Source organism: Homo sapiens, chromosome 21, assembly GCF_000001405.40.
Source record: "Homo sapiens chromosome 21, GRCh38.p14 Primary Assembly".
In the NCBI taxonomy this organism is placed as follows: Eukaryota; Metazoa; Chordata; class Mammalia; order Primates; family Hominidae; genus Homo; species Homo sapiens.
In genome coordinates, this window is record NC_000021.9 from 29,054,653 (window position 1) to 29,074,596 (window position 19,944).

Sequence of the window (19,944 nt, forward strand, 5' to 3'; positions counted from 1 at the left end):
CCCAGGCTGGAGTGCAGTGGTGCGATCTCAGCTTACTGCAAGCTCTGCCTCCTAGGTTCACGCCATTCTCCTGTCTCAGCCTCCCGAGCAGCTGGGACTACAGGCGCCCGCCACCACGCCCAGCTAATTATTTGTATTTTTAGTAGAGACAGGGTTTCACCGTGTTAGCCAGGATGGTCTCGATCTCCTGACCTCGTGATCCACCTGCCTTGGCCTCCCAAAGTGCTGGGATTACAGGCTTGAGCCACCGCGCTGGGCCATACAAGTGTGTTAATTTTATAAGCATCTATATTGACAGCAGAATATAAATGGGAGCAATGTTTCTTTATAAGCCTTCTGATGCCATAGTGTGCATAAGCTGGGGTATACAAGGCCTTACTCTGTATTTGCTCTGTGCCAGTGGTCAACTGATTTTGGACAGATGTAAGACAAACCAGTCTCACTCCTATGAGTATAATTGGGTACCAAACCCCTTAATACCAGCATACCAGAGAAAGCCTGTGAACTGTCCCAAGTCAGCCACTGTTTGAGTTACATGCAACACAAAGAGCTTAGGGACACCAAGCGTCTCTGAACTTCTTGAAAGGTTCTCTGAGGACAACTTCGACATACGATGAACATTTCTAACTTGCTGTGGCAGTAATGAGAGTTGTATCATTCCTAACAAACACCTGTTGAGTTTATGTAATACCCAGTCAGTCATACTGCTTCTAAAATCTCTTGGAAAGAATACTAAAAACAGGCTGGTGCGGTGGCTTATGCTTGTAATCCCAGGACTCTGGGAGGTCAAGGCAGTAGGAAACGTTGAGCCCAGGAGTTTGAGACCAGCCTGGGTAACATAGTGAGACCCTATCTCTACAAAAAACTTAAAAATTAGCCAAATGTGGTAGTGTTTGCCTGTGTCCCCAGCTTTTCAGGAGGCGGAGGTGGGTGGATTGCCTGAGCCCAACAGCAGAGGTTGCAGTGAGCTGAGATTTTACCACTGCCTGTGCGACAGAGCAACACCCTGTCTCAAGAAATACATACACACACAATTTCAAACAGTATTAAGGACCTTACATAACCAACACATATAGTAGCACATGTCCTATAAAATTCAGTATGATTATTTATAATAATTTATTTATAATGTTCTTGGCTTTTTCAACACTCCTTACTGATTTTAACAAAATAGAATCTGCTTTATGAAAACTGACTTAATTTTGTATGTCAGTTTATCTATTTTCTAAGCATTTTTTTTGTACTTTGCTAAGTCGAGTGTCTTCAACAAATTATTAATTGCTATTGAAACAAGTCACCTTGAGTCAGGAATTCCAGAGCTGTGACAAAAACACTGGAAATCTAGTCCAGGTGTTGGCAGCACTTTCCTGTAGAGGGCCAGATAGTAAATATTTTAGGCTTTGTAGGCCCATTTGGTCTCTGTCAAAAATAAAGATACTTAACTCTGCCACTCCCTTGTTAGAAAGCAACTGCAGACAATATGTAATGGTATGAGCATGGCTGTGTTCCAATAACTTATTTACACAAACAGGCAGTAGGCCAGATATACATGGGTAATAGGCCTCTACTTACATAAGTGACTTGCCTTAAGTCCCACAGCTAATGTGATTAACAAGGTTGAGAGGAACACAAGTCATTTAGAGCCAATAACCGTGGTCATTAGACAATAAGGCTTTGACAGTAACAATATGTTTATTATAACATCCAGCCAAGAATACAAACACAAAATAACTCTTAATTTAAGGAGAATAAGAAAACATCAGGTGATTCTTGAGTACTACTACAAATACAGCCTTCACCTACAGTAAAAATTAAGCCAATTTCAATCATTTTGGTCATCATCCCAGTCTTTCTTCCCACTTGGAGGCTTGGGCCCACCAGCTGGTTTTGCCATGATGATCTGCATAAAAAAGAATCACACAAGAGTATGCTTATCAACTTAACCTTTAGAATGAAAAGAATGCTTCTATTAGCATGATTTAAGATTAAGCAGTCTTCTTGGTATAATTATGTACTGCATATAAAACACTACAGCACAGAGTTTGCTAGCTCCCTTGTTAGAAATTCAATTGTAAACTTTCAGCGCATGAGAAAGTTTACTGCTTTTATGGATAACCGCAATAAAATCCACAGAGATTAGTGAACATTCCAAGACATGCACTTCAATAACTCAAAAAGCTGAAAGTGAAAATATGTGCATGCATCACTGGTGTAAGTCGGTCAGTTTGGCACCTGATTTGCTATTTATATATGAGATGTGTCTTGCCAACCATCTCTGTCCCAATTTCCTTGTGGTTTAGGAGCTTTAGGCCCACCTGCCAGCTTTGCCATTATAATCTAAAGTAGTTGATACATAAGTATATACAAAGTTTAACACTGAAATTTTCTAAAACCTGTAAATGAGAATCATTCAAGCAGCCAGGAATTTTCATAAACAAAAATCTAAGTTCCCAACTTAAAAAAAAAAGCGCCACAAACCTCACCTTACTTTATCTAAAATAAATAGGTTTTAGCTTTTTTTTTTTTTTTCTTTTTGAGACGGAGTCTTGCTCTGTTGCCCAGGCTAGAGAGTGCAGTGGCGCGATCTTGGCTCAATGCAACCTCTGCCTCCTGGGTTCAAGCAATTCTCCTGCCTCAGCCTCCTGAGTAACTGGGATTACAGGTGCCCATCACCATGCCCGGCTAAGTTTTTACTTTTAGTAGAGACGGGGTTTCACCACGTTGGCCAGGCTGGTCTCAAACTCCTGCATGATCCACCCGCCTCAGCCTCCCAAAGTGTTGGGATTATAGGTGTGAGCCACTGCGCTCGGCTGGAAAACATCTTAATTACCATCTGCAAACCTGAACTGGGCAGTGGCTCATGCCTGTAATCCTAGCACTTTGGGAGGCCAAGGTTTGAGGCCAGGAGTTTGAGACCAGCCTGGGCAACAAAGTGAGACCTAGTCTACAAAAACTAAAAATATATATATATATAAAATATATATATAACATTTGATAATATATATATGATATATGTATCATATATACGATACATATATCATACATATATCATATATAATATATATCATACATATATGTATGATATATATATCATGTATATGTATGATATGAGATATATATGATATATATGAGATATGTATGATATATACATATGTATGATATATACATATGATATGTGTGATATATACATATCAGATATATATGATATATATCTCAGCCAACCATGACAGCACCTGCCTACAGTCCCAGCTATTCGGGATGTTAAGGCAGAAGAATCACTGGAACTCAGGATTTTGAGGCTGTGGTGAGCTGATTATGATTGTGCCACTGTCCTCCAGCCTGGGTGATAGAGTAAGACCTTATCACAACAACAACAAAAAAGATACCTAAACCTGAAATTCTCAGAATAACATGTTACCAATTGAGAGTAATTTCAGACTGAATTAAAGGCATTAAGCATAATTTTAGAACCTAAGTGCACATTGATTTTAAAAAGTAACTAAAAGCTGGGTGTGGTGGCTCATGCCTGTAATCCCAGCACTTTGGGAGGCCAAGGCGGACAGATCACGAGGTCAAGAGATCGAGACCATCCTGGCCAACATGGTGAAACCCCGTCTCTACTAAAAATACAAAAAAAAATTAGGTGGGCATGGTGGCATGCGCCTGTAGTCCCAGCTACTCGGGAGGCTGATGCAGCAGAATTGCTTGAACCTGGGAGGTGGCGGTTGCAGTAAGCTGAGATCACACCACTGCACTCCAGCCTGGTGACAGAGCAAGACTCCATCTCAAAGAAAAAAAAGAAACAAACACTAAAACAAGTAGTTCCCAAACTTTAGTGGGCACCATAATCAAAAGTGCTCATTAAAACAGACTGCTAGGCCTCTTCCAGCATTTCTGATATTGGTGGGTCTGGAGTGACATCTGAGAATCTGTATTTCTTCTTTTTTTTTTTTTTTTGAGATGGAGTCTTGCTCTGTCGCCCAGGCTGGAGTACAGTGGTGCCATCTCTACTCACTGCAGGCTCCACCTCCCAGGTTCATGCCATGCTCCTGCCTCAGCCTCCCGAGTAGCTGGGACTACAGGCATCTGCCACCACGCCCAGCTAATTTTTTGTTTTTTTTAGTAGAGACGGGATTTCACCATGTTAGCCAGGATGGTCTCAACCTCCTGACCTCGTGATCCTCCTGCCTTGGCCTCCCAAAGTGCTGGGATTACAGGCGTGAGCCACCGCGCCTGGCCTCCAAGAATCTGTATTTCTTATTTATTTTTAGTTTTTTAAAAGATGGAGTGTCACTCTGTCAACCAGGCTGGAGTGCCATGATGTGATCACAGCTCACTGCAGCCTTCAACTCCTGGGCTCAAGTGATCCTCCCACCTCAGCCTCCTGCGTAGCTGGGACTACAGGTGTGAGCCACCATACCTGGCTGAGAACTGTCATTCTAACAAGTTCTCAGGTGATGTTGATACTATTTTGGGACCATACTTTGAGAACTAGTGAAATAGACATTCCAACAAAGATTAATCCAGTCCGTACTACACTATCCAATGCTTAAAGCTTGATGTGCAATTCCTTTTCTAGAATATATACTATACAAATTTAGGTTCATTATACTATACACTATATACACAAACTGGTTAATACAGTTGGATGGGTTCTTTAGATACATACTTCACATAGAGTGCAAAGACTGGGGGAACAGATCAACCAACAACTTCCCCTACCATAAGATAAAGCAGACTTCCTAGTTTAAAGCCAAAATTCAAACTGCCTTTGTGACCAAGGGTGGTGGTTATTGTCTTGCTTGAATAATTGACATTCAAAGTTCCTAACACAGTTGGAATTTCTGCGTTCCTTATGCTGCAGTCTACTTAGCTTCTTCCGTCCCTGCTATTTTTGGTTTCCCCTTTTATTCTTAGCCACATTCTAATTTCTAGAATAAGTATTTTCTTAGGTTTCTATTTAAGAACTCAAACATATTCTTCCATTGAAAATCACCTAATAAGCTGACAGAGAAACCCGTTAATCTGGTACATAAACATCTAGTTTCTGCTTATTTTCAATGACTTGAAACTAAATATCCAGTTCCATTTTTGGTCATCTCTTGCTATCATAGTTCTTCCAATAAATTTGTTATAATTACCACCAACTGGTCCTTACTGTACTTAAAAGCTGAAATGTCTTTCCACTGATTTCTACTTAGGACTTACTCCACCTTTAATATGACATATGACTTTTACCTAATGGATGTATACTGTCCCTCTAGCAAATTAAAATTTTCTATTAAGTACTTATAAATAGTCATTGCTTATTAATTACTTCTAGAATTTTGTGGGGAAATGTATTTAATTAAGTTTGCCAGAAAATACCTTTTGGAAAAATAATTATGATTTCAGGTTTACTTCTATATATAGAACAGTCTACCACAATTCTTCAAAAAAAAAAAAAAAAGGGTAGAAATATGATTTTAAACACCTTTAACATCTTTTAGTATCTCAAGCTGTAATTTGTCATAGCAGAAAAAATTTTCAATGCCCAGTCCTCTTATCTGCAGACAGCTAGAGACTCCATTTTCCTTCAAGCTGGTGGTCTGCAATGTCTGCTTGAGAGCTTTATGGTCCTTCCAAATTCCATGTTAGTATTATATATTAAATTTACTCTCTAAATTATTTGTACAAATGGGTTCTAAGGCTAAAAGGTTTGAAAGTTATATATTCAATACAATTTATAATAGAAGAAAAAAATTGGAGGGGGGCACATAGTATCTCTAATAGGTGAGGACTAAGAATCCTTTGAATTAGAACTATGCTATGTTCTAGTTCTGGGAAAATATACTATTAAACAGTATGCAAATGAGTATTTTTAAAGATCAAAATTTCACTTTGCTCACCTGATCCACTCTAAGTACAGTGACTGCAGCATTAGTAGCGAGTTTGATAGCCCAATATTTTCCCAGGTAAGTATCTAGAATACCAGCTTCCAGCATGTCCTTTACAGCAGGGACTTCAGCCTGTCAAACACAATTTTCATCCTTTCATTTAAAATCCTTTTATGTGAAAATGTTTACACCCACAAAAAGCCTCACATAGCTCCTTAAATAGTACTGGAAAGTAACCAAGCACAGTCCTACCTTATAGAGTCATCCTTTAGTATGTGAGGATTGGTTCTAGCACCTCCAAGGATGCCAAAATCTGTGGATGCTCAAATCCCTTACATAAAATGGCATGGTGTTTGGATATAATCTATGCACATCCTCTCATATACTTTAAATCGTCTCCAGATTAATTATATAACATAGTGTAAATAGTTGTTATAGTGTATTTTTAAATGTCTTTAGTTTTTCCAAATATTTTCAATCTGTGGTTGGTTGAATCAATGGATACAGAACTGGGCTGACTACACACTACAGAACAAAAGACTATCAATAAAACAGAAGGAAAATGAAACGTTCCTCCATCAGACAACCTATGTAAAAACTAAGAAAATAATCTGCTCCCAAATCAGAACACTGTTTCTCATTGATATTTCTTTTAAACTCATACTATTTTTAGGTTGTGCATTCCCCAAATAAAGCAATTTAAGTTCAGTGTTTTTTCAAATACCTCAATATCTAATCCAACGTTTTTATTTCCTTCTTGATGTACTGCATAAAGTTTAGAGATTACTTCATTGGCCTTAACTCCAGAGTTTTCTGCCAGTGCGCGGGGAATAGCTTCAAATGCCTCAGCAAACTTCTTAATAGCATACTGTTCAAGTCCAGGACATGTCTAAAACAAAAATGCGTTAATTACTGTCTTTTATTCAAGCAATGGAAAGAAAGTCAATTTATACAGAAAAAGCTGTACCTCTCCATATGATGTGATCTGTTTGGCTAATTCAATTTCTGTTGCTCCACCTCCGGGTACAAGACGTTTATCCTGTATGTAGCGCCCCCACCAAAAAAAAAATGAACACAAAACAAATTCACTAAAAATCAGTTTGCAGTTTTCTAATCTTTTCACATTCCAGTACCCCACCAAACAGGAGTTTTTATCAGTCATTGTTACTCAAATACATATTACAAATTTGGTAAAAATGAGTGGGTGGGGCAAATTTTCTTAGTGCACAGTGTCTGGTGTATGAAAAGGACCAAAGTGAAGAATGGGAATAGTACCGTATCATTTTTGCATATCCACAGATATAGCACTAAGAACTGCTTTAGCAACTAACAGTACATTACAATGGAAAACAACGATAAACAATTTTTTTTAAAGCTCTGTTTTGCTGTTAACTCCTCTGTACAATCTTTTTTGGAAACTATCATATTCACTAACAATGGACACTTAAGTCTTAGGTAAAAACAAAAACAGGTGCTTCATTTCATATAAACCACTCATTCTGAAGTTCTCATGATGTGCAAGAGTCTGCAAACTGTACTTTTAAGACCATACAAATTACTCAGACCTTACAAACTACTAAGAATATTGCTGATACTGACCCTTGTAAGAACTTTGAAAGTATTAACACCATCGTCTACTGCCCTTTCTATGTCATCCATCAGATTGTCTGTAGAGCCTCGAAGTACTATGGTAGAAATGGCGCCATCTTCCTTTTCTATCAAAAAATTAAATATATTTGGTGATTAAATACAAGAAGCTAAAGCCCTACACTTAAACATGTTTTACCATTCCTACATACCATGCTTAAAAACCACCACCTGAGTATCTCCAACTTCTGAGAGGTAAACACTGTCACAGTGTCCCATTTCTTCAAGGACAGGAGGTGTCTGTAAGAAAGTGACTGTTGTAATAAAAATTCCATCTTGTTCAACTATCTTTTAGTGTTTTCCAAAATACATACCAATCTAGGAAGAGCTGTAGCACCAACAGTTTTACAAAGTCTTCGGAGATCCCATTTTGAGTTTAGCCTTTAAAAAACACAAAGACCTTAATAAAAGTTTTAATCAATTTCAGATAGCATATAAAGTTCAAATTAAAGAGGAACCTGTATACCAGCCCCCATGTCACATTCCTTTGACAATGGATTTTAACTCAGAACATGTCTGGATTGCAATGAACACTAAGGCCAGGAAGCTGATTCCTGACTCTCTGAGTGAGTCCAGCTGGCCAATAGTACCACATCTTAAGCCTGTGTTGTATGGCATTGTTCTAGAATTGGGAGAATGGAAGTCACTTTAGGATGTCAGTGGTTTATAGTTCTAAAACACCAGAGAAACCCTTACAAAACTCAACAGCATATAGAAAATTTTTGCTTTACTTTGTGCAATCAATGTTCTGTGAACAAGAGTGATTTATTTTGCACATTTTATTAGGTACTAGGGATGGTGGTAGGTAGAAATGGGTTAAGTTGTCTAGTGTGCACCATAAATGTGTTCATGGATTAAAAGGGATCTTCCTGACTCCATACTCTGATAGGCAATGCACCAAGCTTGTGTCTAGTCTCTTGGACAAGTTGTTCCTTTTGCCTGGAATGCTTTTCCCTCTTCAATTATCTGGTAATTGGTTCTTCAAGCTCTCAGCTTAAATTTATGTTTTCTCAGAGGTGTTTCCTGACCCCTCCCCAAACTAAATCCTTCTGCTATTTGACCTAGTACCTTTACTTTCCCTTTATTAACAGTCTTCATGGTCTATTTCGTTTAGTGTTTTCACCACCAAAAAACCATTTATGATATAGGTAAAAAAAAAAATCGGCTTTTTCTTACCTCACTAACATGATATTATATTTATTTGCATAATGAAGAGCCATGTCTGCCACTTTGCCACCTGTTACTACGACATTTGCACCAGTATCAGCAATAGCTTTGACTTGTGCATCCATGAGGTTTTCTTCTCCCTTACTAAAATTCATCAATTCTTCAGCAGTCTTTATCAACACTGTTCCCTGGCAAAACAAGTAAACATTCCCTTTAAAATCATTTCACTACGTTGGTGTTCAAAGTCATTAGATAATAGTTGACTGAAGAAATAAAGGTTTGGCAAAAAAATATGAAGATATATGTGCATATATTATGAAGCAGCAGAATACTGTATGTGTGAAATAGAAACTCAGCTTGCTTCTAGAACCCCCTGTCAAAACAGATGCATCTGCTTTTGATAAGTACTTAGGTGGAAAAGTACTTTTATCTATTTATTTATTTTGAGACAGAGTCTCACTCTGTCACCATGCTGGAGTGCAGGCAGGATCTCGGCTCACCGCAACCTCTGACTCCCTGGTTCAAGCGATTCTCCTGCCTCAGCCTCCCAAGTAGCTGGGATTACAGGCAAGCGCCACCACGCCCAGCTAATTTTTGCATTTTTAGTAGAGACGGGGTTTCACCATGTTGGCCAGGCTGGTCTTGAACTCCTGACCTCGTGATTTGCCTGCCTTGGCCTATGCTGGGATTACAGGCGTGAGATACCGTGCCCGGCCGAGAAGTGCTTTTATTTTAAATATGTCAGGTAGGTAGGTGTCCTGGTGTTTGTCTTTTGACAAAGGCTAACTAGTGTTCCCAATACAACATTGTGGTTCTCAAACTTTTTCTAAAATGTGGACTAGGCCGGGCGCGGTGGCTCATGCCTGTAATCCTAGCACTCTGGGAGGCCAAGGCGGGTGGATCACTTGCAGTCAGGAGTTGGAGACCAGTCTGGCCAACATGGTGAAACTTTGTCTCTATTAAAAATACAAAAATTAGCCAGAGATCACTTGAACCCAGGAGGCGGAGGTTGCAGGGAGCCAAGATTGTACCACTGGACTCAAGCCTGGGTGACAAAGCAAGACTCTAAAAAAAAAAAAAAAAAAAAAAAAAAAGAATAAAATACAATAAAATAAAATATGGACCAAATGACCAGACCCCCCTCATGCTACAAAATTTTAAAACTATCAACAACTTGGATTTCAAGAATTCTAGAGATGAAGTCAGCCACTATTGACTATAAACACAAACTTCAAACTTTCTAACATGTATTTTTAGAAACATACTTACCATTTTCAAATTACATTAGCTTATCTTGTTTTAGGATGCTACAGAATGTCAACTTTATTTTCGTGAAGAGCACACAAAATACTCACATTCTCATATTCTTTCACTTGCTGAATGTATAAGCTCTACTAGAAGGGCTGTGTGTCAGATTATAAATAATACGGCCACCATCTTTATATTTCCAGTTTAATGTTCAGTAGTTGAATTAGATATTTGAAGACTATAAATCTGGCATAAAAAAATAGGTAAGATCCTGCAATGTTCAGTTTTTTAAGAAGTACTTACTGGTTTAAGAGCTAACTCAAACAATCTGAAAGTGCAACCCCAATTATTACTTTTAAGGTTTGAAGTCTACATACCTTAGTTTCTGTTATCATGCCATCAAAAGGACAAGAGTACACTGCTATTTTTGCATCTTTGACAGATGTTACATCACCTTCGGTTTCCTTCTTAAAAACCATGCCATGCAATACTGAAGAGGAACTGATACCAGAGCCCTAAGGAATTGAATACCAAACTCATCAGCAATCTCCTGAAAATAACATTACGGTCAAACTGTTGATTCTCCATATACCAAAAATATCCCTTTCTAAAATAAAGTCATAAACCAAGGCAGTGACTCCTGGGATAAGGGGTGGAGTGGTGGACATACAGCACACCCTTCTGCTCGAGGCAGAAATCACTGAGGGAATGAGCTACTTTTAGGGAGGGGAGGTCCTTCCATGTACTGGGAAGAACCAAAGGCAGAGAACTGGTCTTAGCCATTCAGTTACCTAGTACTTGGTGCCAATATACCAGCCACAGCTGTCAGTACTGCAAATACAACACAGAACAAAGCAAAGATTCTGTTCTCACAAGGTTGCATTTAATGGGAAAAGCTGGCAGTACGTGGAGGGAGACAGCAAACATAGAACACGTGAGTATCTTCAGGGAAAGCACATGTACTTATGTTATGCTAAATTCACATTAACAATCAGAATGCCAATGTGCAAAACCAAAACCATTCCACTGATAGGTTTTACTCTATCAAGCACATTTTATCAAAAATATACTTTAATATTTCAATACTAACATTAAAGTGTGAATTCTATTATTGAAGAGGAATAGGACGATTTCCACCCCACTCAAAACTGTCTTATAAGCTTATTATAATTCAGAGTATTATGAAGAACACAAAAAAATTAGTATTTTGCGCTGGGCGCGGTGGCTCACACCTGTAATCTCAGCACTTTGGGAGGCCAAGGTGGGCAGATCATGAGGTCAGGAGTTCGAGACCAGCCTGGCCAACATGGTGAAACCCTGCCTCTACTAAAAAAATACAAAAATTAGCTGGACATGGTGGCATGCACCTGTAATCCAGCTACTTGGGAGGTTGAGGCAGGAAAACCACTTGAACCTGGGAGGTGGAGGTTGCAGTGAGCCGAGGTCGAGGCACTGCACTCCAACCTGGGCAACAGAGCCAGACTCCATCTCAAAAAAAAAAAAAAAAAAAATTTAGTATTTTGTTTATACATTATTCTTAAACCCACAAGACATCACAGAAAATGACTTTATAAGGAGATAATATGTCAATATCCTTTTAAACTTAAATAGGTAGTAGTATTATTACAACTTAGCAACATCAAAATGTTACAAAATAATGCCTCAAAGGCCAGGCACGGTGGTTCACGCCTGTTAATCCCAGCACTTTGGGAGGCCAAGGCAGGTGGATCACCTGAGGTCGGGAGTTCGAGACCAGCCTGACCAACACGGAGAAACCCCATCTCTACTAAAAATACAAAATTAGCCGGGTGTGGTGGCGCATGCCTGTAATCCCAGCTACTCGGGAGGCTGGGACTGGAGAATCACTTGAACCGGGAGGCGGAGGTTGCGGTGAGCCGAGGTCATGTCATTGCACTCCAACCTGGGCAACAAGAGCGAGACTCCGTCTCAAAAATAAATAAGTACATAAATAAAAATAATGCCTCAAAAAAAGTCCTAAGTGTTCAAATCATGAAGTAACATTTAGGTTTAGATGAACACATTTTTTTTTTTTTGCACAAAAAAACAAAAAAAGCACACAAAAAAACTGACCTAGATATGTAGCATTAATGCATTTTCTACTTACCAGAATTTTACAAACTCTGATGTTATCAACATTGAAATGGCCGGAATCAGGAAAAATAGATACTGTTAAGAAAATGAGACATATCAAAAGATTATTTTGGGACAACAGAGAAAGTATCTAGTCATGTTAAAGGTATTTTTATTTTGGATCTTTTCATTTACTGATATTTACTTACCGCATGCCTGAGCAATAAGCTTGGCCAGAAATACTTCATTACCATATTGTTTACTCATTATGGAGGTACGAAGTAGAGATGAGACTTCATCAATATCTCGAAGGTTTTTTGCAGAACAACATACCAAATTAGGAAGAATCTCATGAGCTTTTCTGCAGGCTATTTCATAACCTTCTATGACCTAAAACATAAACAACATTTCCTATTCTGACATGACTTAAAGTAGCTTATTTTGGTAACCCAATGCATATGGATGTTTATTTTTGATACAAAATGACAAAGAATATACTTCGGAATAAAACATATAGTAGACTCTACTAGTTATGAATGGAGGCTTAGATGACAGCCCAAATTTGAATCTTAACTCTACCTAACTCACTAGCTATGAGATCTTGGGCAAGATTTTTCTAATTTTAGTCTCTTTTCTCATCTAAAATAAAGTGGGAAAAAAAATAGATAAAATGGGATTATAAGGCCTCACTAATAGGGTTTTTGTGAGACTAAAATGATACAGCATGTGAAGCATATGTACTATAATGGCTGGTACAGAGCAAACTGCTCAGTGCATGTTAGCTACTACTATAATAATGATTTTAGTTTATGTTTTAAGCAGGTGTATATGTAAGCAAAAATTTAGTAGGAGTAAATTATAAATGAACACTTGCCTCTGAAACTGACAGGCCAATCCTCAGAAGTTCTTCAGCTAATTCCAGGAGAGCTCCAGCAAATACCAGAACAAAGTTTGTGCCATCTCCAACTTCTTGCTCTTGCATATGAGAAGCCATTACAATCATTTTTGCAGCAGGATGCTGTACCTAGTAGAAAAGGTAATATCAAGTTAAACATCTGATCCTTAAAGCAACATAAAATTGTTCATTTCCATTTCTTAAATAGACTCAATTTTCTTGTAGATTAGGTAACTCCATCTGATCACACTGCTACACTGCTATACGCTACTTATAGTGTGGTCACAAGAAAAAATCCAAGTCCCTTTATGCCGATCAGCACAAATGTATCACTATAAATAAGAATTTCAAAGTGCATCCTCTTTTGGTGGCCTGCACATACAGTGCCACACATATGTTTCACCATATCATATTTCACTAAATTAAAAAACAAAGTAATTACAACCACCAAACCTAGATATTTTTTAAAAGCCTTCAGGAGAACTAAAATAGATACCACTTAACTTGGTCATGACTCTCAATATCTATTTTACTATATATTCTTGTTGTAAGGGTTATCATTTGTGATTTAAAGAAAAGGGGGAGTATAAAACTTTTCTTCAAATATAACATAATTTTATGTGGATTTTATTCTTAGGATTTAATTTTAGATACCTTTACAGAAACAAGCCAAGGAGTAAGAACTGAGAGCAACAAGAAAACTATAAAAAGTCAGCCCTGTGATTTTATTATTTTGACGGTATCACCACTGTACTTTAATAACTCCTGAGATCATCAGTGTGCAACATTAACATTCACAGTGACAAACCCTTGTACAAGTGTTTTGTGGAGTTAAAATTTAACTTTTAACTTAAGTTCTTTAAGAATTTATATATATAATATGTATTTTTTTTTCTTTTTTGAGATGGAGTCTTGCTCTGTCGCCCAGGCTGGAGTGCAGTGGCGCGATCTTGGCTCATTGCAACCTCCGCCTCCCAGGTTCAAGCAATTCTCCTGCCCTAGCCTACTGAGTAGCTGGAACTACAGGTGTGTGCCACCACGCCCGGCTGATTTTGTTTCTGTATTTTTAGTAGAGATGGGGTTTCACCATGTTGGCCAGGCTAGTCTCAAACTCCTGACCTTAGGTGATCCGCCTGCCTTGACCTCCCAAAGTGGTGGGATTACAGGCGTGAGCCACCGCGTCCAACCAAAAATATATTATTTAAGAGGTTAGAAAAATGTTGATTCTTCTATCGTTTCATTTAAAACAAAAGATTAAGTTCTAGTGCTTTCAAGGGCTAAGCTTCAGGAAAATTCCCTGAGGTTGAATATGTTATCCTTTAATTACAAGGCGGGAATGAGGAATGGCTCTCTCTGCCTGTTCAGGTGCCAGACCTTCCTTATAACCCTGCTGGCAGGCAGTATCTATTTTATAGATTCTAATAGTAAAACTAAAGCTGAACAAAGTAAAATGCCATCAACTGATTGTTTTTATTTTCACAAAACCAAATGGTTGGATCTTTTTAAAAACCACTGTTATATGTATACGTTTTTGCACTGTGGAATAATTCACTTCAGAGTCACCCTATAGAATGAAGACAATGGTAATCAATTTCATATCGTAATTAGCAATGTATCACAACCAATCCCTCCATAAATTAATAACTTGAGAGATTTTTAAGATTTCAGTGGCTAAAACATTCAATCTAAAGAGGACTCTTTATAATTAGAACAATCTGTACAATAAATTTTCAAGCTGGAAAAATAGTCCCTTATCCAATCTGAAATAAGAGATTTCTTCTAGTTAAAATCTACTTAATTTTGATGTCACCAAAATATTTCTTGACTTTTTAAAGAAACAACTTACTTCTAGTTCTCTTAAAATAGTTGCTGCATCGTTTGTCACAAACAACTTCTCCAAGTGGTTGATAACCATTTTGTTCATTCCTCAAAAGTAACAGTTAAAAAAAGAAAAAGAAAGCCATTATTAATCAAATCCTTCCCCAAATACCCAGGAAAATCTAGTTAAGAAATTATAAATTTGTATATTAAAAAAAGAGCTTTGCAAGAAAACACATACTATCTATTCTTCAAGTTTATCTTATAGCCCCATGGGCATTCTCTGACTGCAGACCCATATTCTTTCTTCCCTTTCTAATGTCCTACAATATTTACTACGTAAGATGCCAAATCTCACATTTTTGCCAATTTCTATCTTCTGTTTGCAACATGACTGTCATGCAGCAAGTGCTCAACAGAAATTAACATGTAAAAAGGCCAAAATAATCTACTTAGTATATTTAGTTGTATGTTTATTCCATGAAACTGTATCATTTAAATTTAATTGGTGGTAGAAGGCAAGAGGAAGGAGAGAATTTTCTTCCTTAAACTATGTCACTTTTATATTTAGTGTTTGTCAGAATGAACATTAGGTACTATCTTACTAGTCAAAGTGTTATAATTTTTCTATCCTCTCAACAGGATAAAAAGTAATATATTGACCCCCATTTTTCTAAAGAGATGTGAGTTGATTGAAAATTAGAAATAACTAAAAATTGGAAATGAACTATCATTGAGCTATCAAATTAACTTCCGAAGTCATACCATAACATCCTCAGAACAAGTCTGAAAGAAGACGTAGTACACAATATTCTACTACTGTATCTTTACAAATATTAATTTAGAAATTACCATTTGGTCCATATGCTGTACGAGTGGTTTGGGCAAGCTCCTTGCAAGCTTGTATGTTTCTATACACAGCCTCTTCTAATCCTGAAAAGTGCTGTTAAAAAAAACAAACAAAAAACCCCGCTAATTAGACAGGACAGTGAAACAAAAATTTCAAATACAAGATATCTTTGCTTATATCTTGCCTCTAATAAAGAGGGAGCATAGCTTAGGTATTTGGCACAAGAGGGCTGGTTGCAAATCTTAGCTTTCTGGCTCTTTTTAAATTTGGGCAATTTTCTTAACATTTCTTCATTATAAAATGAAGTAATTATAATAGTACCTAACTCATAGGATTGTTGAGACAATCAAACAAGATTTTTTAATGTAAAACACAGCATTTGATATTCATAAATGATGCATACATTTCCTCTCTAGTTGAATGAATAAAGTATAACATTTTGGGGGACCGCAGGTACCTACTTACACATCAAAAGACTTAAAATTTTTTTTATTAAAAGTAGTGAAAAGTACAGGGAACCATGCTAAGACTAATTAGAGAAAGGGTATGAGGTACTTCAAGTAGAATACCTTTCCAGAATTTATCAGTATTTTCTAACTAACTGTTGAAATGTGGAATATTCTTATTGTGTTAGAATCTGGGCTTTTGTAAAGCCAGAAGTTCTTTAAGTATGTGCCACTGAAGTGTTTAGAGACTGAATACTTTTTTTGAATTGCAACATTATCCCAATGTATATGTATTGAAAAGCGAACTGCTCACGGTACTAAAAATTCTCACAAATTCTACACTGGACTTTTTTAGAGTTGAGGTTTACTTGGGTCCTCAGATATATTTCACTAATCTACTGTGCATGAGAACATTTCTTTAGAGAAGCGCTGCCCAATACAGTAGCCACTAGCTACATACATGGGGCTAGTGAAAGCAATCAAAATAAACTTTCAAGTAATTAAAATTAAAAAATTCAGTTCCTCAATTGCAGGAGCCACAGTTCAAATGCCCAGTAGCTACATGTGGGTAGTGAATATCACACTGGACAGCGCTGATACAGCGTATGTCCAGCACTGCAAAAAGTTCTATTTACATAGTACTGCTTTACAATACAAGCCATGATTTTGTGATCCAAAACCAAGGTTAATAGCCATTACTCTTTTTTGAGAGAGAGAGAGTCTCCTCTATCGCTCAGGCTGGAGTGCAGTGAGCTGAGATCGTGGCACGATCTCAGCTCACTGCAACCTGGGCCTCCCGGGTTCAAGCAATTCTGGAGGCTCAGCCTCCTGAGTAGCTGGGATTAGAGGTGCGCGCCACACCAGGTTGGTTTTTTTTGTATTTTTTTGAGAGGCGGAGTTTCACCATGTTGGCCAGGAACTCCTGGCCTCAAGTGATCCACTGACCTCGGCCTCCCCAGTGTTGGGATTACAGGTGTGAGCCACCAACCCCTGCCAATAGCCACTGCTTTAAAAGCATCTTCAGCAATAAGAACTGTTATTCCAGCAATAACACTTAAGTCTGAACTCCTGGCTTACACTCTTGCTTCTTCCCCTCACTCCCCATTCTGTGAGAAACTACCATTTGATCAGATCCCCTCATTCCCATACTTAAGACCCTTCAATGGTTTCCCAACCAGCTTAGGATAAAATGCAAATCCCTTTTCAAGGAAACAAGGCCCTACGTATCCCGGCCCTTGTATGGCTCCTCCTCTGAACTTACCATTCTTCCTTTCTTTGGTAAGCTTCAGCCCTACAACCTGTTGTTGTTGTTGTTGTTTTAAAAAAAAAACAGGTCAAAATCATTCCTTCCTCAGGGTCTTTGTACTAGTTAGTCCCTGAGCCTGGCATTTCCCCCTAAGTAAGAGGTCGGGGGAAACAGCCCAGGCTCAGGGGCTTCTCTCACTAAGCACTGAGCTAAGAGTTCTTCCCTAAACGTCTAAGTGTTCTGTCTATTCCTGATCCTTCTTTTACAGACATTTTTACCTCCTGTCATCCTCTACTATAGTGCAGTTTCTTTCATCATTATTTGGAATTCTCCTTTTATTTAATCATTATTTCTGCCTTAGAAGGACATAAACTCTACGACAAATGGGACTTTTGTCTTTCACTGCAGTTCCTTCAGTACCTATTTATTGAAAGAAATAGCTCAGTGTTCTGTAAAAAACTACTAGCACTGGAATGACAAATAATGTTTTGTGATACACGAGTTTTCCAAAACTGTATTAGTGAAAAAAACCCAAATTGGAAGCTATTATCTCAGCCTGATTTTTTCAAGGGAATCAGCCCATATCATTTTCAAAAGATTATTCCACCAACATTTACCTTGAACCCTGACATTTACTTACTATACCGACATTATTTGAAAAGTGCATCCTACAAACATGAACCTAGTTCTATTAAACTGTTAATGCTCCCCGTACCTCGCATAAAACCTTAAATTCAACCACACTGATCTATTTCTTGAATTAACAAAATCTGGAGGACACACAGAGGAATGCAATTTGAATAGCACAAGAGACAAATTTATCAATAGTGCAGTAAGATATTTTTTAAAACTATGCTACCGAACTAACGTTCAAGAAAAGGCCATTAAACAAAAGTGTTATCTGCACCCCTCTATCACTTATCCTGCAGATTACACAGAACTCAAAGACACCACCTCTTGGTCCAATCTCCATAATTTAAAGACGAAGGAAACAAAACCCAAGAAAGTTACATTTTAGATTAAGCCAGCTAACATAAGTTGGGACCGGAACTCATTTGGCTACAACGCATGGCTTCTGTCAACTAAGCTGAAAGCCGTATGTTTCTCACTGGGAAGCAAGCAACCAAGACCCGGCCCTTTTTCCCACTCTCTTCTCTGGATCGGCTAGTTCTCGTTCTTCCCCATCCTACAACTCGCGAGCTATGTGATAATCGACGTCGCAGTTCTCAAGACAATTTCATCTACGTTATTCAATTTCACCCTCACAACCTCCTTTAAGGGTGACGGGCCTTAGCCCCATTTACGGATGGAGGCAAAACGCACGCGCGGCTTCACATCCGTCCACCTTCAAGGTGTACAATGTCGATCGTGCCGCCGATCCCTCGGCCTTCTCCCGGTCGCGGAAGAAGAGAAGTGCCCGCAGGCTCCGGTGGCCGAGCCCTTCCAAAATCACCTCCCTTTCTGGAATCTTCTCTTCCCCCGGCCGCTGAGCCAGGGCAGCACGCTCAGCCCGTTAGTAGGCCCTCCTACTTCGCCGCGGCCGCCGCAGCCCTATGCTGACGCTCCCACCTCATTCCTTTCCTTCAGCCCTTACTTTCGCTCCCTCCTTGAGCATCTGGGCAAAGCCCGGAGCCTTGGGAACGTGAAGCGCCATGGCCAGCCTGCAGGAAGCAGTTCACGCGACCGCTCGGAAGACCGCGGAGGAAGCGAGGAGCACGCACAGCCTTCTGGGAAAGCAGCGTGGGGCCGCCTCACGCTCTTCCTGGCTCTCCAATTAGCCCACCCTTTCCCTGCCGCCAGGTCTGAAGCATCGCGAGAAGAGCAACCTCTGTGGCCAGAACCAAGCTGACGATCCCCGATCGGGTCGATCGATAGGGCGGGCCCAGGGAGCCCCTCGGGTTTCTGGCTCACGCACGCGCAGACAGCCCAGGCCGTGAGAGGTTGCTCCAGTCTGTGCTCTCTGACCGTAGTCAGTAGTCACGGCGTTAGATTTTTGCGGTTTTTGATCTGGAAGCCACACATCCTTAGCTTAATTTCCACGTATCTTCCAGACCCAGCCACCAACGTCAGGGCAGGTGTGCTTTTTTTTTCCCGAGGCAGAGCATCTGCCCCATCCCCCAAAATTGTCTCTAGGCGTCCGCTCTGTGTTGGGCACCATAGGAAGCGCTGGGAATGCGCACGATAATTAAAGTCGTCACTAAGAGTAATGTAGTACACATCAAGTGCTCAAGTGTGCCATATTCTGTGTGATCTGCTTTACATGCAGTATCTCTGTTAATGGTCAGTCTTAAAAATTAATGAATTGTCGGTTAAAATACCATTTAGTTTTCCTTCCATAAAATGGAGACGATACCATTAAAAATTAAAAATTAAATGGTACTGTCTCTATTTTGTAGAAGGGAAACTGAAGTTCACAAACTGTAAATAATTTTCCCAAGATCACAGAGCTAGTAAATATTAAAGCTAGAATTCCTATCTAGATCAGACTTATTGCAAAATGCCGGTTCTTAACCACTATCTATATTCCTCTTTTCTACTTCTTCCTGGGAATATAAATCCCTTTTACTCTTTTAAGATCAGATATAAATACATATTTATTTATCTGATTTATATATATAATATACACATTTTATATAAATATATCTGATTTATATATGAAT

At 38.8% G+C, this 19,944-nt stretch overlaps 1 protein-coding gene across 5 annotated transcripts, besides 6 other annotated features; it reads right to left on the bottom strand.

Moving 5' to 3' along the window:
* Window positions 1–1,673: 1,673 nt before the first annotated feature.
* On the bottom strand, window positions 1,674–18,996 carry CCT8 (chaperonin containing TCP1 subunit 8). Of its 5 annotated transcripts, NM_001282907.2 has the most exons (16): window positions 18,608–18,996; window positions 17,300–17,336; window positions 15,595–15,685; window positions 14,771–14,850; window positions 12,904–13,053; window positions 12,239–12,419; window positions 12,064–12,125; window positions 10,316–10,453; window positions 8,700–8,878; window positions 7,838–7,904; window positions 7,676–7,763; window positions 7,476–7,591; window positions 6,844–6,915; window positions 6,601–6,765; window positions 5,889–6,008; window positions 1,674–1,900 (listed from the first exon to the last, which is right to left on the bottom strand). In NM_001282907.2, the coding sequence occupies exons 2-16, from the start codon at window positions 17,300–17,302 to the stop codon at window positions 1,823–1,825; spliced, it is 1,590 nt and encodes a 529-aa protein (NP_001269836.1). In that variant the 5' UTR covers window positions 17,303–17,336; window positions 18,608–18,996; the 3' UTR covers window positions 1,674–1,822. The 5 variants fall into 5 exon arrangements, with proteins under 5 accessions (NP_001269836.1, NP_006576.2, NP_001269837.1 ...); NM_006585.4 differs by lacking the exon at window positions 17,300–17,336 and having other exon boundaries at window positions 18,879–18,996; NM_001282908.2 differs by lacking the exon at window positions 17,300–17,336 and having other exon boundaries at window positions 18,854–18,996.
* Window positions 10,281–10,510: an enhancer, noted in NCBI's record as "active region_18329". NCBI's record gives its function as "activates an Ori minimal core promoter by ATAC-STARR-seq in GM12878 lymphoblastoid cells {active_cell/tissue: GM12878}" and the evidence as "EXISTENCE:reporter gene assay evidence [ECO:0000049][PMID:35858748]".
* Window positions 10,531–10,640: an enhancer, noted in NCBI's record as "active region_18330". NCBI's record gives its function as "activates an Ori minimal core promoter by ATAC-STARR-seq in GM12878 lymphoblastoid cells {active_cell/tissue: GM12878}" and the evidence as "EXISTENCE:reporter gene assay evidence [ECO:0000049][PMID:35858748]".
* Window positions 18,068–18,979: an enhancer, noted in NCBI's record as "NANOG-H3K27ac-H3K4me1 hESC enhancer chr21:30445041-30445952 (GRCh37/hg19 assembly coordinates)". NCBI's record gives its function as "activates a minimal SCP1, AML or CMV promoter by ChIP-STARR-seq in primed H9 embryonic stem cells {active_cell/tissue: H9 hESC(primed)}" and the evidence as "EXISTENCE:reporter gene assay evidence [ECO:0000049][PMID:30033119]".
* Window positions 18,432–18,601: an enhancer, noted in NCBI's record as "active region_18331". NCBI's record gives its function as "activates an Ori minimal core promoter by ATAC-STARR-seq in GM12878 lymphoblastoid cells {active_cell/tissue: GM12878}" and the evidence as "EXISTENCE:reporter gene assay evidence [ECO:0000049][PMID:35858748]".
* Window positions 18,980–19,891: an enhancer, noted in NCBI's record as "NANOG-H3K27ac-H3K4me1 hESC enhancer chr21:30445953-30446864 (GRCh37/hg19 assembly coordinates)". NCBI's record gives its function as "activates a minimal SCP1, AML or CMV promoter by ChIP-STARR-seq in primed H9 embryonic stem cells {active_cell/tissue: H9 hESC(primed)}" and the evidence as "EXISTENCE:reporter gene assay evidence [ECO:0000049][PMID:30033119]".
* Window positions 19,052–19,221: an enhancer, noted in NCBI's record as "active region_18332". NCBI's record gives its function as "activates an Ori minimal core promoter by ATAC-STARR-seq in GM12878 lymphoblastoid cells {active_cell/tissue: GM12878}" and the evidence as "EXISTENCE:reporter gene assay evidence [ECO:0000049][PMID:35858748]".

Coding starts and splice junctions, on each gene's coding strand:
- CCT8 (NM_006585.4), bottom strand. CDS start 18,938: ATGGCGCTTCACGTTCCCAAGGCTCCGGGCTTTGCCCAGATGCTCAAG. Junction 10,454..12,063: donor TCAGAGTTTGTAAAATTCTG/GTAAGTAGAAAA, acceptor TCAATTCCTTAG/GGCTCTGGTATCAGTTCCTC. Junction 7,905..8,699: donor TATAATATCATGTTAGTGAG/GTAAGAAAAAGC, acceptor TGTTTTTTAAAG/GCTAAACTCAAAATGGGATC.